The sequence below is a fragment of the Homo sapiens genome, chromosome 11 (genome assembly GCF_000001405.40).
Source record: "Homo sapiens chromosome 11, GRCh38.p14 Primary Assembly".
NCBI lineage: Eukaryota > Metazoa > Chordata > Mammalia > Primates > Hominidae > Homo > Homo sapiens.
In genome coordinates this window covers 100,062,768-100,080,958 of record NC_000011.10, presented here as the reverse complement: position 1 = coordinate 100,080,958, position 18,191 = coordinate 100,062,768, and the positions used below count along the sequence as shown (strand labels likewise).

Below are 18,191 nucleotides of genomic sequence, written 5' to 3'. Positions count from 1 at the left end.
TATAGTAAGCAGTTTATAGTTACTAAATCTTATAAATTCAGATATAAACCTTTCTTCCTTTAGGTAAACAATGCCATTTAATCATTTTATTTCTTTTGAAAACATAGATATTAATTCACATATAAATTCAAATTGTACATTCTTGATTTATGAATGCTAATTTTCTTTCATTATACAATTTCTTACACACTAAGGAAAACCCAGATACTTAAAGTTTATATTGTTTTACGTTCTTAATATGTAAAAGACACTGTCACAGAGGAAACAACAAAACAGCTTGTTCATTAGCAAACCCAGCATGTAGGTGGAAACAAAGGGACAAAAACAGGGCCCTAATTATACCCATGAATTCTTCTTCCATAGATAAAATAAGAAGACCTTGCTTTCTTCTCAGCAACAGTGTCCTTTAGGGCTTTTGTTAAGAACAGATTTTCCCATATGTCTCTGAGTCAGTATGTGAGCTTCATCATTGTTGCCTAATAAACACAACATGAATTCCCACTAGAAGTCAAATAATGGGTATTTCTAGTGCAATTTTCTATGCGTGTTAAATAAGTTGAAAATTTTGCCTTTCTGAAGCTCCTTTAGTGAGCAGGGGGCCATTATGTCAGATTTTGGACAAGTCTTTGCTTAGATTACAGTCCCATAAAAGAAAAATTATTCTATAATACTGCACCTCCATAGGATAATTTTATTTTTTTTGTATGCAGGATTTCTTAAGCACCAGTTTGAATTATAGTCCATTATCTTCATAACTGTTACCTTACTCTGCCTGGGCATAAAAACTAGTGCTTAAAATATGTTGAAATTTCAATAATTGTGAATAATTTTAAACATATATGACATTCTATGAGGTTCAACAACAGTTTATATATGCACTTATGGAAAGGAAACAAAATAAACTATACCTTTATCAAAAACTATGTATTCTTCATTTTAGCTAAGATTGTCTTTGTCCACAAAAAGTACAGGAAATTGAACATGTAATAATGAAGACTTAATATTTGTGCACTGCTGGAGTGCTTCTGGATGATTATATTTTAACAAAAGTTAATGGCCAAGTAATGGAAATAATGAGCTGGAGTGAAAATCCAATATGAGTTTGATGAGCAGAACATTCTGAATGAAGGTCTGCTAGAGGAGAAAATCCCTGTGGAATATTTTACTTACTAGTACTTCTGGAGTTTATTAGTTTCAGTATGAAAAGGGAAATGATTGATACAGGAACCTAAGTGACTGTGTGCCAGTAATCTTCAAAAGTGAAAGTGATGGGGGGAAAACCTGGAGAGCCCTTAAAGAAAAACAGTGAAAAAAAAAGTCTTTAAAATACTTCATTTCTATTTCCATTAACTCCCCATGTCTATTTGTCTATTTGCACATGGCCTATAAAATGTTAATGGAACAAGTAAATATTTGGTCGGCTAGGACAGGAACCTATTCCAAAGACATTGAGCTAGAAATAGGTAAGGGAGATGAGATTTTCAATGCCAGGAATAAATGACGACAGGTTTGGGGCTCTGATGAACAAAGAATAGTGATTTGCGGACATAGATTGATGAATAACAAATTTATGACATAAAAGATGTAAAAGACTCCTTTAGTCCTTGGAAACAAATCTTAGGTATTCTTTTCCTTAATGACTGGAGAAAGAAAGGAGAATGGTAAGCATTTCCAGACTACTGATAACAGAAATGGATGCCAGTATTCTAAGATTCAAAGGTACAAATTATATTAATACGGTTAGGCTTTGTGTCCCCACCCAAATCTCATCTTGAATTATAATCCCCATAATCCCTATATGTCAAGGGAGAGATCAGGTAGAGGTAACTGAATCACGGGAGTGGTATTCCGCACGCTGTTCTCGTGATAGGGAATGAGTTCTCATAGATCTGATGGTTTTATAAGGCACTCTTCCCCCTTTCCTTGGCACTTCTCCTTCCTGCCTCCTTGTGAAGAAGGTTCCTTGCACCTGCTTTGCCTTACGCCATGATTGTACGTTTCCTGAGGCCTCCCCAGCCATGCTGAACTGTGAGTCAATCAAACCTCTTTCCTTTATAAATTACCCAGTCTTGGGCAGTACTTTATAGGAGTAGGAAAATGGCTTGATACAGATACCATCATTATCACTATCACCATTACCACCACCACCACCATCATCATCGTCATCAGTATCATTATCATTATACATAACATTCACTGAGTACTGAGTAGATGTCATACACTAGGCAATATATTTTACATGTAAAATTTCATTTAATTCTCACAACCCAATCAGCTTACTCTTTTAATTTAGTAAGATAATAAATTAGGTAACTTACTGAAACCTCATAATCTGCAGGATAAGCAGAGCAAGTAAGTCCTCTTTTCATACACTGGTTTATACTTTTACCAACAACGTTAAAGTGCTTTGCAAATCATAAACGCTACGAACTCATAAGCAGTCATCATCATTATTAGTAATAATGTGATTTACTATCTGAAGGGAGTTCATATTGATCATTCTGTGATATAAATAACAAACAAATGTAAACAAATCTTAGCTCTGATGTAATCCATTTTCTTGTATATTTTAGTTGTATCATTTAGGGCCAAATGAATGAAATGTTTGGTAATATATAAGCAGGCAGCTAATTTGTTAATCATATTTTTTTCTAAAAGTCATATTATTTTCTAGTTATCAAATTTTCAACTTTAGAATAATGATTTCTAAATTTCCTTAGCAAAATATATACACATAAAAAATACTGTGTTTTGAAGACACTGACCTTCAAGAAAACAAAGAAAACTAAACCTGGCAGATTTACTCAAAACGTGGTAGAAAAAAATGAGCCAAATGGTTATTTGGCACTCTGTTGACAAATGACGAACTATAACCTTCAGTTGTTCTATCATTTTCAATCATTTTATTTACAATTTAGAGTTAAATTTAAGTAATGCTAAATTAAATTTACCTTTGAGATTTTCTGACATATTTTCAGATGATTAGATTATATTTTCCTGCAATTAAGACTATATATTACATTTTTATGCCATTGCTCTGGACATAATTTTATGCTATGAAAGCAATTGACGTATTTTGTTTTTTTAAATATTTCTTTTTGATCTTATTTTATTATATTTTTGAGACAGGGTTTTGCTCTGTCATCCAGGCTGGAGCTCAGTGGTATGATTATGGCTCAGCTAAACCACCCAGGCTCAACCCATCCTCCCACCTCAGCCTCTTGAGTAGCTGGGACTATAGGCGTACACCACCATGCCTGACTATTTATTTAAGTTGTTTTTTCTTCTTTTTTATTTTTTGTAGAGATAGGAGTCTTGCTGTGTTGCACAGGCTGGTCTCAAACTCCTGGGCTCAAGTGATCCTCGCATCTTGGCCCCCCAAAGTGCTGGGATTATAGGCATGAGAACTGTACCTGGCCTGAATGTCTCTTTCATAATATACTATTATGTTAATTCCTTTTCCCCAATATAATATTATTATTTATTTCTTATACAGAAACTGCCATTTGCTGTTTCAATAGTTCTTTGGAATGAACCCAAAACAACAAAATTTTTATTGAAGGACAACACTAACTCATTCAACATTTTTGTCTCAATTGTTGTAGGTTGGATGAGTGGGGCACATATTTGATGTAGATCATATGAGTGATATTTATATTTATATTCCAATAAAATAAGCCATGATTTGAATCTCCACACCCAATGTAAGTTATAAATTAAAAAATGACACAAACTTTTTGAAGTCTTAACAGTTTTCTAACACCTCTGTTTCCATTTAAATTTATATTTAGAGCTGTAATCAAATGGTTGGTGTGCATTATAACAGAAAAGCAATCTAAAATTTCCTCAAGAAAATAAGTTGTCATTGTAACTGAGACTTCTTTTAAAGAATGTAAAATATAGGCATTTGACATTGTTAAGTTTCTAGTCATAATTTTAGAATGTACAATTTTTCAACTATGTGTCTTCTTATATTATGGAATTCTGCCTATTGCTGTTGAAATCTTAGCCTCTTATTTAATATTAAGTGTTATTATTTTTTGTAGTGAACTACATTTTTCTTCTTAAAACCTAGGGCTGCCAGATATGGTAACAAGTCATTCAATAATAAAAATGGTATTTTGTAAGTGTGCCTGTCAATATTAAGAATAAAAATGCAATATATGTCTGGGCTTTGTTATTCAATAAAGCCAGTTTATTGACCTAAAACATGTAGATCAAGGTAGGCAGAATGCTAAGGAAATGTGGCTGAGCCTTGCTTTTACTTGAATAAATTAAAAAAAAAAATTACATTTTAGCCTTCTTCCTAAACAACACTTTGACTGGAAGTATTGACATCTAGAAAAAATTGAGTGATCTGAGTTTCAGGTCAATGTATCTTTCTCACTAACCCCAAGGGTTAGCAGTAAAGAAAGGAAGAGAAACAAGAAAGTTGAAAAATTCACAAACTGTATTTTTCAACATCTGAAAAATAAAAAATTTAGTAAGCTTATGTTGTTGTAATAGAATACTCATAATCCTGTTACTTCTCTCAATACTTTTGCTTTGGTAAAAGAGGTTCCACCCTAATTTTTTAAACTCACCATGTGTCATTTTTCAACAGTTGATGAAGAACATTCTTATTGTGAACTGAAATAAATAGGACAAAACTCACATGCCACCCAGAAACATAAAACAAAGTCATGCATTTCAGATAGAATGTTTTGCGTAGATAAGGCATATATATTTTAATGACACTGTAAGCTTTTTAATACGTCCAGAAAAAATAACCTAGCAGTGTAAATTATTTGTTCTTACTATGCAACAAAACAATTTTCTTCTACTTTAATTAGGTTTGTGCAGTTTTTTAAAAATCATAGTGTTGTGAGCAAAAATCCACTAATATTCAATCACTATCTGATCAATTCTGTCATAGGCAACAATGATCTCACAATTTGTCATTTGCTACCCGCCCCCCAACCTAAGAATGAGAAATTCTTTTTAAAACAAGTTGTACGATGTTGGGGCTCAGAACATGATACCCCAGAATATGGCACAGAGTACCTTGACCTGAAGAAGACTGAAAGGACCTTGGAAGCAGGATATTTTTGATCTTCTCCCATCTGTCCGTTTCAAACTCCTCTTTCTCTACTGAAGAGAATGATAGAAACCAGAATTCTCTCCCCCAAGGCAGATCATAGAAACTATAACTTCCCTTCGTCAAAGCAAACTATAAAACCTAGAAAGATTGACCTTCTCCCTTCTCCCTTGAATTGTCTCATGTGACAGGTGATTTGTCCTACACCTGGAGGAAAGGAATACCACACAAAATGGCCAAGAAGAATCTGAACACATAGGCCTTGGTGGATTTCCCCTCTCAGTCTATAACCATTAGATCACATACTTTTTGTCCAATCATATTTCTACACGGCTCTCTATTCTTCACTGAACCTAAGCATAAAAAGAGTTTTCTCTAAGTCTTTGGGTCTTCATTTCTGAAGGCCCCTGTGTCACACAAAACTTTGATTAAATAAATGTGTTATGTTTTTCTCTTGTTAGCCTGTCTTTTGTTTTGAATGACAGCCTTGACCCTTATGATAGGTCTTTTGGTGTAAGAGTGCCAACGACGACCCATCCCAATCCCAGGTGATCACCCTTTCCAAGAAGCATAGATCTTTGGGTCTAAGCTGAAGCCAGTAATTCCAAAAATTGTTTAATCTGAAATAGACTATTTAAATCAGTGTCCCTCAGATTTGATGGAAAACAAAAATACTCTATTTTTAAAAATTTTTCAAAATGTTTCACTGTTACTTAAGAAATTATTCAAGTGAACCGCTAATGCAGACTTAAATTATTTTAATTATATTTTATGTAGATTGGGACAAACATAAAACAAGTCATAAACTCCTTATACTTCTAGATCAATTAAACAAAATCTAATACAGTACAATATTATTTTGACATAATAGAGGATACTATTTTGTCAAAGTTGAATCACCATTTGTAATACCAATATATCAATAATAGTAGGACATGGAACATTTGAATTTGGTACAAATAGATTGCCATGTGATGATTTGATTCCCTCATGATTTTTTCTCCATTTGTACTCCTGTGATATCCTTTGGCTTTAGTTGCCAAAGACAAATGTTTACATATTAAATATTCCTCTGCTCACTTCTCATTTGCCTATGGCACTAAAAATAATCCTATACTATTTTGCCTAAATATGACCTGGATAAAAAGACAAGCATTGGCATAAATATCACATGAAAGTATTCTGTCATGATTATCCAGAAGATTCACATATGTTTTTATCATTTGTATTAAAATCAAATTAAAACACAATGCTTAAAAATTATCACAGATGATTTGTAGACCTCCTAAATGCAGAAGCAAGATGAAAAACAAACAAAAATAATTAGTTTAATTAAAGAGTACTTTCTTCAAAACCTAGTGAAATATCCAACTTATGCTAAAACCCCATGGAGTCAAAGAAGACTGACCATTTTGAAGTCAAACTTTGGGTTCTTTTAAAATCACTATATAGGCAAAACCATGTTTCAATCAGTTCATAAAATACGTCTCACGGTACTGCAAGACTCTTTCTTGCATAGTTTGTGTGTGTCACCTGTAACCTCAAAAAAGTCTAATGTTGAACTTGAATTATAAAATAGATTCTAACCTTTTGTTTTCTCTAACTGCTCTGTCTCCTTTCTTCCAAGAGATGGTTGGTTTTGGAGAGCCTTGGGGTTTGCACTCTATGACAACTTCTTGGTCTTTGGTAACAATTATTGTTTTCTTCAGTTGATTCAGTGCAAAAGTGGGAGCTGAAGCTATTAAAAAAGCAAATGTTAGTTTCTACCAGAAGCAATGACAATAATCTCTAATGGGTGATTCATGAAGATCTTGTAACTTTTTCTTCTGGGAGGCATTTCTCATAAAATCATAGTATATCTACACATGAAAAAGGCAGTAGCTCAAAATTTTACTTATTATTAATTAATATGTACCTTAGTACATTAGCAGGTGATTTCATACAATATGGGATCTACAGGTAAAGGCTATTTCAAAAAATGACATGTTCTAATTATGATTACCAACTTCAATTATGAAAGACTAGTGAATGACCTTGGCAAAAGAGCAAAAGGCTAACTGACAGAGTCCATTTGACCTTCCTTTGGTAAGATGGAGGTGACCTGCGAAAAAGACAATCCTGTGTCTTCCATTTCCCATCTACGAATCTTAATTTATTCTGTATATTACTTTAATATTATAAAACATTAAATGTTTTATATAATACATTGTTTAAAAATTAATTTTTAAAATTGAATTATTTGAATTTCAATTAGCAATTTTACTTGTAATTTTTCACTTAGGTTTGATCATTCATTCATAAATACTGTGTATACTATAATTTAGATCAAAACACTTTTGAATCTAAAAGAGAACCTGAAAGATGTCTACAAGTCCACAGTATCTGTGACATTTACTTTTACCAATCTGATATTATATGTATTTCATATTATATATATAAAATATATCATATAGCAACATAATGCATGTCACAACATTGAAAAAGATATGTATAGAATTGAGATAGGTTAAGAGATTTTTTAAAACCAAAGAAATTAGCCAGGCCTGGTGGCTTATATCTGTAATCCTAGCACTTTGGGAGGCTGAGGTGGGCAGATCACTTGAGGTTAGGAGTACAAGACAAGCCTGGCCAACACGGTGAAACCCCATCTCTACTGAAAATGCAAAAATCAGCTGGGTGTGGCTGTGGGTGCCTGTAGTCTCAGCTACTTGGGACGCTGAGGCAAGAGAATCGCTTGAACCCTGGAGGCGGAGGTTGCAGTGAGCAGAGATGGCATCACTGCACTCCAGCCTGAGCGACAGTGAGATTTTGTCTCAAAGAAAAAAAGTTAAAAAGCTAAAGAAATTTATGAGGAGATAGTTGCAAGTAACTTTTTTTTTTTTTTTTTTTTTGCCTCCTGGGAATAGAATTTACAAAAAGTAATTTTGAAAATATTTCTTGTGAATGATAAGGGTTTGAGAAATGTTTCAGGGCTACTAACTAGGTGAAGGGTGAATCAGCCTTTTAATTCAGTGCTATTATACTGTGAGTTGACAAGAAAGTTCATTAACATTTGATTGTTTAGAATGAAGGAGATTGAAAGGAAGAATCCTGTAACTATTTTGGATGGATTTGTTGTAATGTGGAGAAATTTCAACTGCAAATATTCATAATTCAACAAATCACTTTAGGATGTATTACATTTAGCTGATATGTAAATGGTGGGCTCCAAGATTCCTGAGATCTTTGGTGTTTCTCTTAAGTTATGCTTTGAGAATTTAAATTTAAATGGGGAATAGAAAACACACTTGGGCTTCTGCCCGCTTTGGAAAGACAATGAGTGAGTATCTTTCTTTACATTACAAACATCCCTGAACCAGTTTAGGAAAAAATCAAAGTGGGAAAAGTAAAATTCATTCCAATGGCTCATATATGCTTTTTCTGGGTAGTCTATTTCACTGGATGGATTGTTTCCTGTAGTATTTAAATAGTGAAGAAATGCAGTGCCTGGGTTACATTCTTATCAAGGGTGTAACCCTATGAGATTGTAGTGCCTGGCATCAGGAAGCCTTTCCCTGTTAAGTAAGGAAGGTATTAGTTGATGCCCCATGAGGAGAGAGTGATTTAGCCTGGAGTCTTGCTTTGCAGGAGCCACACAGCTACTGATAGGAACTGCCTGGGAAATTATTAAGCATTGCTATGGGAGCATGGACAGGCTGCTGGAATTCTATATTCTGATCTCCTACCCTCAAGGCATTCTTCCTTGGAAGTTAACATGTATTTCTTTATATGATTTTTTTAAGTGCTATAGCAAAGACGTATTGTGTAAACCTTTTAAGATTAAAACTAAAGTTAGAAAAACTATATGAACAAAAAGTTATGGGACGAACTATACACAACATAAACCTGTCTACTAAAGTTAAAAAAAATCAGCAAGACATAGTATTTCTTTTCAAGCCATAAAATAGATTTTTACAACCACATCATAAACCTTCAGTATAGTAAAAATTAGAGCATGAAAAGAAGCAAGGTTTTTTTTTTCAATTTATTCACTTAGAAACTGCATACCTAGAATCTTCAGCTCAGCACTAGCGTAAATGGCTCCATACTTATTTTCAGCCAAACACTGATACATTCCAGCATCTGATTGATTCACATTGTGGATCATCAATACTCCATTAACCATCTCAACCCTACTCTGTAATGGAATTAAAAAAATTAGATCTAGAAAGTAAACAAATAACATGGATTTTATGGGTATTCTCTCCTAGACTAAGAAAAAACAAGTTTGCAATTAATACAGTTAAACATTATTTGGCCACTTAGCAATGTAAATGTACTGTTCATTATTTTATTATAACATGCCACTTGTAAATTATAGTTATTTATTGGTTGAAAAAGAAATTACAATTTTTTTGTAGTTATTCTGACAAGTTTTACTTTCAGTTTGGTTTTTAAAGTGAGGTGTCTTTTTTGGTACACTAGTTGAGCTTGTGAAATATAATCAGCAGGTGATGCTTTTATTTGCATTCCGTTTACAAAGGGAAAGAAGGATTCATATAGTAGAAAAGACTGAGGTTGTAGACACATGAGATCAAGGTTAAAAATAGCCCAGGTCATAAGAACAATCCCTTTACTATATGGATCCAATCAGGAGTTTGCCATTTTCACTCACTTCCCAAAAAACTAACACAGATAGAAAACTGCCTTGTGACTCGATTCTAGATAAAATTATTGGTCAGACAATATACTTCAGTATCATAAGATAGTATAAAAAACAAAAAATTGAGCATGTGCAAATTAAGGTAACCTCAAGTCAAGAGCATATTTCAAAAACAAATTTAAATTTTAAATGTTGTTAAACCTCCAAATGTCTTGTCTACTTAATGCCAAGCAAATCATTAAAAAAAAAACTCTTAGTTGGCAGTGCTTTGTCTATCAACGAAGATACCGAGCAATTTTAGGTGATATCTAAAGGTTAGCTACAAATGGAAATAAATCTATGATAATATTGATAGTTTCATAAAAATTTATAGGATTGAAAACAGTTTAAAGAAACACTGTATTACCAAAAAATGTAATGAGGTAATTAAAATTTTAAAATGCTTACATATTTGTTATGTTTCTCACTCAAAATATATTAAAATATATGACTACTATATCCCAGACATTGAGTTAAATTCTCAGTTAATCCCCGTAACATTCATCCTTAACACAAACATGTCCTATTATACGAATCAGAAACAGGAAAAGGCTTTCAATAAGACTAAAGAAGCCTAGTTTGTCCTGTGTGAAATCTCGCTAAAATTACAGCAGAACAGGTTAATAACTCCCAACAGTACCTGAGGTGAGAGGGGTACTCCATTCTTCAGCCAACGATACGTGGGTCTGGGTTTTCCAGTAGCCTTACATTCCCATCGGAGAGGGCTCCCACTGTCTAACTGAGTATCATTCAGTTTTTCTACCCAGTGTGGGTAGGCTGTAAGTATGTAAGCAGTAAACAAGGATGATTTCATTTCTCAAACGCTTTACCAAGTTTAAAATTTACATGGAAAAATTCAACGTATTTTTTTAAAAGCAATTCATTCAACCATAGGTATTTTGAAGAAGCACAGCATTGCGTTACACACAAAATTCTATTTCCTGTACCCCCAAAAAATAGCAGTGAAGATATTTTGATAATATAAAATGCTATTTTAACTATGCAAAATCTTCTTCTTCTTTTTTTTTTTTTTTTGGACTTTAAGTGGTTTAGTTATCCCCAAGGCACCTGAACCAGTTTAATAGGAAGTCAGGTACTAGAGTCAATTGCTCTTTCAATGTAGTGGGGCAGCATTAGCACGGGTAGAAATATACAGTGTATCTACTCAACTTGTTTCTATCTCTCTGTGTATATATATAACACCTGAATGACTTTGGAAAAATGATTTGTGAATCCAGATTTCACTGTAAAATTTTTCTTAATTTACATTCTTGCAATATAATTTTTTTATTTGTGCAAAATTGTTACAGAGGAAAATTTATTTTATTAAGAATGAGATACTGTTGTAATTATATGAAATCTTAAGATACAAGTTAAAGTTCATTTCCACTATTGGCCAATTTTTAAGGAAAAATGTTGAATAAAGCTGACTCTTTCTTTACAAATATTCTGTTTAAAACAGTCAAAGAAATACGTATAAAAATATTGCACTGAATTTATTATTTCTAACAACATTTTTGGCAAAAACTGTAAAATATTTATATGTGCTACTGAGGGCTTTGATCATTCATTCATTTATATGTTGTTTCATATATGCTACATAGTTCTTGTTCGATCTTAGAGGCTATTAAGAATACAGAAACAGAGCGGCTCTAAAAGAGTTTTTGCTGCGGTAGAGGTGGTCTAATGTCACTGCCAAGGAAGAGGAGAGCATGTGAAAAAAGATGTATTAAACAACTGCACGTTGGACCTGGGACGGTGCTCATGCTTGTCATATCAGGAATTTGAGAGGCCAAGGCAGAGGGATTACTTTAGCCTGGGAGTTCCCAGCTCGGGCAACATGGTGAGACCTTGTCTCTACTAAAAATAAAAAAAAAAAAATTATTCAGGTGTGGTGGCACATGCCTATCGGTCCAGCCACTTGGAAGGTTGAGGCAGGAGGACTGTTTGATCATGGGAGGTTGAAGCTGCACTGAGCCGTGATCATGCTATTGCATTCCACTTTGGGTGACAGAGTGAGAACCTGTCTCAAAAAAGAAAAATAAAAAATAAAGAAAACTACACATGCATGTCAGAATAGTGGGTATAACGGAGTAGCAGATGTCCGAAACCAAAGCCAGTTTAGCAGGGAGGAGAAAGAGCAAGAAAGAACTCACATTTATTAAATGCTAGTGCTAGTCATTACCATGTCCTAGACACTGAGCCAAATTCTCAATTAATCCCTGTAACATTCATCCTTCAAACAAACATGTCCTATTTTATGAATCAGATTTTGACTCAAAGAGGTTAAAGAAATTTACCCAAGGTCACAAAGTTAGTTACTTGTTTCTAAGAGGGAATTTTGCTTTTATTAGCTTACTGGTCTTCTGGCCAATATAGTCTAGACTTTAGAAGCCCCACTTTGGCATAGCATAGTCAGGATTTGTAGACCTTGGAATACATTCTGTGATTCAGCTTCTAAGCCTGCAAGCTATCATTCAAAAATCTTTACCATAGTGAGTTTCAAATATTCATCATGATTTTTGTACCTGCCTTCGGAAATCATCTCTTTGTAGTTATGTGTCATATATGCTAAAATGCTGATAGGAGTGATGAGATACACAAACAATATTAAACTCTACTTTTACATCTGGCTTTTCTGTAAACTTTACTAATCTGCCAGGATACTTTACACTATGCATGACTCCTGTAAGCCAGATAAACTGGTGTGTTATCTCCCAAGCACACACTGTATTTTATTTAAACTGTTCACTCTACATAGAGTGTTCTACTTCTATTCTGTCTCTTTTAATTCTACTCACGATTCAGTGTTTATTCTAAATTAAGTAAGAGGTATTAATCACAGCCTCAAAGAAGAGTCATGTGCACCTCCTCTGGACACCTGTAGTTCTTATTCGTTTGGAAAATATTCATGTCGTAGCTTGTTACCTCTCTTCTGTTGCTGACTTAAATTGTTATTTAATATTTTAGTTGGTTAGAATTTGACACTCAGCTAGACAGTGAGATCATTAAGAGTAGAGATGATTCTAAACTTAATGTTAGGCGAAACAGTGTCCTACCTATAATAACTGATTGTATTTGTTAGACTTATTGATCTATCTCTAAATGTACCATGACTGTAGCCTTTAAAATAACTTCAAAAGAGATTTTTAAAAGTTACAGAAATGAAGAGCTAGGAAAGAAAGAACAGTTAAAATATTTAAATAAAAACAGATTTGACATCTGAGAAAACAATCCATTAGAAATTGGAAGAAAAAATTTAGAGTCCTGATTCCAAAACAAATTTTTCATAGGAATCAAACATATGATTAATGACATTAATACAAATATGAATTAATTTTTTCCTTCCTTTCTTTAGATTTTTTTTTTGGATACCATTATAGGTAAAATGCTTACTCTGAAGATACGAACATAAATGTGCTATCATATCTGTTTGCTGTAAGCTCAAACTCTAGTGGGTGAAAGGCCATTAAAATGTTATTCAAATTCATTCTACCAAGAATTCTACAAGTAAAAGTGGCCTGTTACACTGCCCTCAAAATTGAAAAAATGCTATCAGTATGTCAATTATTGGCAGATAAAAGACAGATGTCATTTCATATTTTGTTGCTTTGAACACTGTACCTTGTGTGTGAATCTTTTGTACCAAACTATGTTGTTATGTGTAAGAGCTATACTTCTGTAGCTTTATCTCTATGTTGCATAATAGCAAAAAAAAAAAAAATCCTGAAATGGCATAACTTGGTGATGTCACTTGGCTGCTTAAGATGCCATATGCAGTTAGTATATATAGCCTGCTTGTTAATTGACTTGATATAAAAGCTTTCAAGCAAGTCCAAACAAATACATACACAAGCACACAAACGCATAAACATACACACACAAACATGCACACAGACACACACACAAGTGGAATTTGGGTTGTAGATTGTGTTACAATGAAGTTAAGCTCTACATTAGAAAAATAAATTTAATGTCATAATTGAATAAACATTAATTAACATTAAGGCTATGGGAATTTATGAATGGCTATCCTTCACAAAATACATGGAAAATGTAGGTTATGTTCAATACTAGATCAGCTTGACTTCTACAACAGATTTCTTGTTTACATTGCAAGATATTTTATAAACCACTAGGTCTATACTATATGGTCCGAGGCAAAAAACATTATGTGAAAGGGCAGTGGTAAAATTTTTAAAATAAAACATTAAAAACTGAATTAAGGCCTGAAATAATTTGTCTTAGGCTGTAATCTGAAAAAGACAGTACAGTACTTGCAAGATTCTTACAAAAACAACAAAATTACTGGTAACATAAAATCAGAAACATAAAAGGTTACATTTAAACTTTTTTTTTTTTTTTTTGGCAGAGGACTGCAAGTAACTAAAGGGCATTGGCTTTGGCTTCTGAATAATAACATGGGGTGAGCAGATGCCAAGACGTGGTCTGCATTATGGAAAGTCTTTCATCTGTCTGGGAAAGAAAAATCACAGGTTGGGCCACATTTAAAACAAACCTAATAACTTTTTAAAATCTAGCTTTTGTCAAGCCACCTATTTTAGGATGTGGAAAACTGAAGAGACATATGGCACTTTAAACCCAGGAGCTGTTAAAGCCTCACCAGATGCACCGTACTTATGTAATACATTTCAGCTTCAGATCAGTCTCTGGGTTACATTTTATAAAATGCTAAGCAGATGTGCATAAAGAAAACTCTTGCTTATTATCTCTTGTCATTAGAAATTCTGTAACTCTCTACTGATAAATGCTAAGTGTTATTGGCCTCTTTTGTTGCTTCTGTACTCTTATGTATTGAGGAGTCAACATATTTTATCCGCATAGATCACTTTCAGTATTATGACTCTCAGCTGTAGGCCAATGAGAGGTAATGTGTTATATTGGAGAGATTATACAGTTGGGGATGAATATGGGTTCAAATTCTAGTGCTACCATGCCCTTGCTCTATTATGTCGCTGAGAATGAGTTATTTAACTGTAATGAGTCTCAGCTGTAAGCTGTAGATAGTAATTCCTATTTCAATGAGCTACCATGATGATAGAAGATAATATATATTGGTTACTTTCCCCCCAATCCATTGCCCATGTGTTTTCTAGCAACTGTGAATATACATATGGCATCACTTTCATAATAACAGTAGAATTCAAGGCAAGAATTTTTTCTCCATAAAACAGGATTGAAAACTGTCTTTAGGTATGAAATTATTAACCAGGAATCAACAATTTTATATCATTTCCTAGAGTAAATATTTAATATACTTTAACAGCTAAAACATCTTTAAAGATCAGACCTAACGTACATAAACAGTATTTTGAAGAAAAGAAAAAAGAACAAAAACTAATGGCAAGGATTTTAATATATCATACAGTTTTCTGTAACATTAATAAAATGTTAACTATAGTATATAGAAAGTAGAAATTATCTGCTCTCGATGCCATTCTCATCTCATGCCTTAGTTCAGGTTCTCAGTGTCTCACTGAGAAGTAGCATGCTATCCTTGGGGGTGGAGGTAGGATTTGAATCCTGGTGTCACTGCCAGTTTCAGTTGGATTCTGGTTCTACTATTTGTTATTAATGGGTCCTGGGGTAATAAGTTCCTTAATATTTTGAGGTCTAGTTTCTTGTCTGTCAAATGGGAATCTTAAGACCTAAGGGTTATTGTGAGTTAATGTATGTAAAGCACCTCGTAGTAATGTCTAGAAGGTAAGCTCTTGGTGATTATTAGTTCCCTTCATTAGTTCCTTAGTCTTTCCTGACTCTCATCTATTTTTCATAGTGGACATTATAAAATGATGTGCATACCTAAGCATTCATCTTTATAACAGTATAGAATCATAATAAAAATTATCCACTGTGTGCTGAACAGAATTCACAGGGCTGGATGAAAAAAAAAGTAGACTATTTTGAAAGAGCTTACAATCAAATTGCAGACGATAGAAGCGATTAACATTTGTGAGGATACTGTCCAGAGGTTTTATGAAGATAAGGAAATCTATAATACCACTCTACACTGAAAATGAAACTGTATTCCTTTACTGGATATTTAGTACAGTACAACTAACTTTTAAGCGTTCTGGATAAAGGAATATTTTAATACTGATACAATTCTAGTTGAAATAGTAAATATAAACTGTCTAGAGGTCATAGTGACCGTCTTTATAGAGTGACAAGTTACTAGTTGGTGACGCACATGATACACATTTAAACTCACAGATCACACATCTTTATATAATGAGATTTTTGTGTACATAAAATATTTCCCATTTTGAGAACTCCTTATAAAACTGCTTAAATGATGTTTGTCCTTCCTGCCTCCATCTTTCCCCCTTCAGTTACCCCTTTTCTCCTTACTTTGTTCTGCATTTCTTTTGTCATTTTGTCATTTATTTCTTTTCCTTTTAATTGAGAACTTTACCAAGCAAGAGTTCAACTTGCATTAGAACTATAGAAACAAAATTTTATATGATGAGTTAAAACCAGGTCTTTTTCATCAATCGTCAGAAACTAGAGGGGACAGAAATAGCCAAAGAAATGACTTAACCCATGAAAATCCTATTATCAAGAAAGGCATACCAAATAGAATATTTATGCAGTTTATGCTAAGGTTCAAATTATTTCCAAAACTTAGTATTTTAATTTTTCCAAGTTTTATTTCTTTTTTATGAGTATTACTTTTAAGACCTATTTATGTTATATTAGACATGTAAGTGTATCTTAACTTTAATTTAACTACCATGGACTTCTTGATGTTGTATCATTTGTTGTTTTATGTTTACAATGTAGATACTGAATTAAAAACAGTAAAATCTGCAGCTTAAACTTATGTGTACTATCTATATAGCACTTTTATAATGCTTTGACCAAGAAAAGGGACTAGAAATGCTGCCTTAGATCCCTGGTTCATTTTTTGAAACTAATAGCTAAGCATAAGTATTCTTGCAATTGTACTTTCAAAAACAATGTGCTACCATTGTTTTCAGTACTACATGAATACTGACTGTTTGGATAAAATGGGTAGTCTGTACTTCTAACAGATAGAATCCCAATTACAGAGCTTCCTACAGTAATTCATTCTATTGAGAGAATATTCTAAATATAAACCATGAGACAGTGAAACATCCATTCATCATGCTATCCATATCTACTGCCAGTCAGGTGGAAATGACTGAATCCTATCTACACTTTACAGAGTTTGATGGGGAGGAAAGCCCTCATGTCTAACATGACAGTTTTAAAAGTACAAAAGTTGGATGAATACATGATAACCGACATACTTTTATTTTTTATTTGTAATATTTTTTAAGACAGGGTCTAACCCAGGCTGGAATACAGAGGCACTATAATGGTTCACCGCAGCGTTGACTTTCTGGGTTCAGGTGATTCTCCCACCTCAGGCTTCTGAGTATTTGGGACCACAGGAGTGCAACGCCATGCTCAGATAATTTTTTGTATTTTTTTTTTTTTTTTTTTTTTAGAGACAGGTTCAGCTGCTATGGCCTCCCAAAGTGTTGGAATTTTCAGGTCTGAGCCACTACACCTAGTTACCAAGATACTTTTAGAAGTGAAATAGGACACTCTTCATAATTGTCATAGGGCAGCAGATGTAAAGTGGGATTTTCTAGGGCAAAGCAAGGTGTATGGCCTCCTGATGGAGCCTGGTAGAAAGCTACCCTAAACATGGGCTGAAGAAAGAGTTCACATGCTTTCAAGATATATTCCACACCTGTCACAAATATATGCCAAGTAGCCAGCCAGCCCAGTTTCTCTTTCTAAGGAACAATCTAGATTTTTTTTTTTTTCTATTCAAAGTGATGCACGCTTTGGGTAGGTTTGTCTTTACCCAGATGGCCTACAGTGCATGACAACGACACCCCAGATTGTTTAAGTAGCACTTTCTCACTAGAATGTACACCAGTAATAAGGAGTGAAAGCAATTTTTTTTTTTACATTTCTGGAAACAGTCATCATTACCTATGAATTAAGTAGCTGGGGTTAAGGGAGGAGTAAGTAGAGTCATGCTATGTAGGAGCCTCAGTCCCTAGAACATACAATCTAATTCTATTTAGGTGTGGGCCATTCTTCGAACACAGAGAATTCGTACTTTCCTCTGATAGCCTTCAGAGTAACAGGCATGCTTTACATTATTTGTGATTTTCAGTAGTAAAGTTCCGGTTCAACACTTGTCTTTCAGTATCAGATTTTTATCTGTACAGAGGGATGGTAATACTTCAAACTGTTGGTGTGAGAATAAAATGAACGTGTATTTTAACATTAATCTTTGCTCCACTGGGGTACAGAAAAAAACTTTTCCCTATGGCTAGAGAGCGTTGTCTTAATGATTTGTTTTATGAATTATGAACAGTTATAAACTTTGTGGATTTCATCCAAATATTCATGGCCTAAAAACAATCA

The 18,191-nt window shown here is 33.6% G+C and overlaps 1 protein-coding gene and 1 long non-coding RNA gene across 13 annotated transcripts in view; one reads left to right on the top strand and one right to left on the bottom strand.

The window, feature by feature from the left end:
* Positions 1 to 18,191, bottom strand: part of CNTN5 (contactin 5) — a 1,337,937-nt gene that overhangs the window by 277,927 nt on the left and 1,041,819 nt on the right. For all 12 annotated transcript variants that reach the window (XM_017017926.2, NM_014361.4, XM_011542871.2 and 9 more), the window contains 3 exons: positions 10,399 to 10,535; positions 9,125 to 9,254; positions 6,665 to 6,815 (listed from right to left, as the gene is read on the bottom strand). In XM_017017926.2, the coding sequence (XP_016873415.1) occupies positions 6,665 to 6,815; positions 9,125 to 9,254; positions 10,399 to 10,535 (418 nt within the window). The remainder of the gene's footprint in view (positions 1 to 6,664; positions 6,816 to 9,124; positions 9,255 to 10,398; positions 10,536 to 18,191) is intronic.
* The window catches only part of LOC105369456 (uncharacterized), a 54,991-nt gene that overhangs the window by 25,283 nt on the left and 11,517 nt on the right, over positions 1 to 18,191 (top strand). The gene's annotated exons all lie outside the window — the stretch shown is intronic.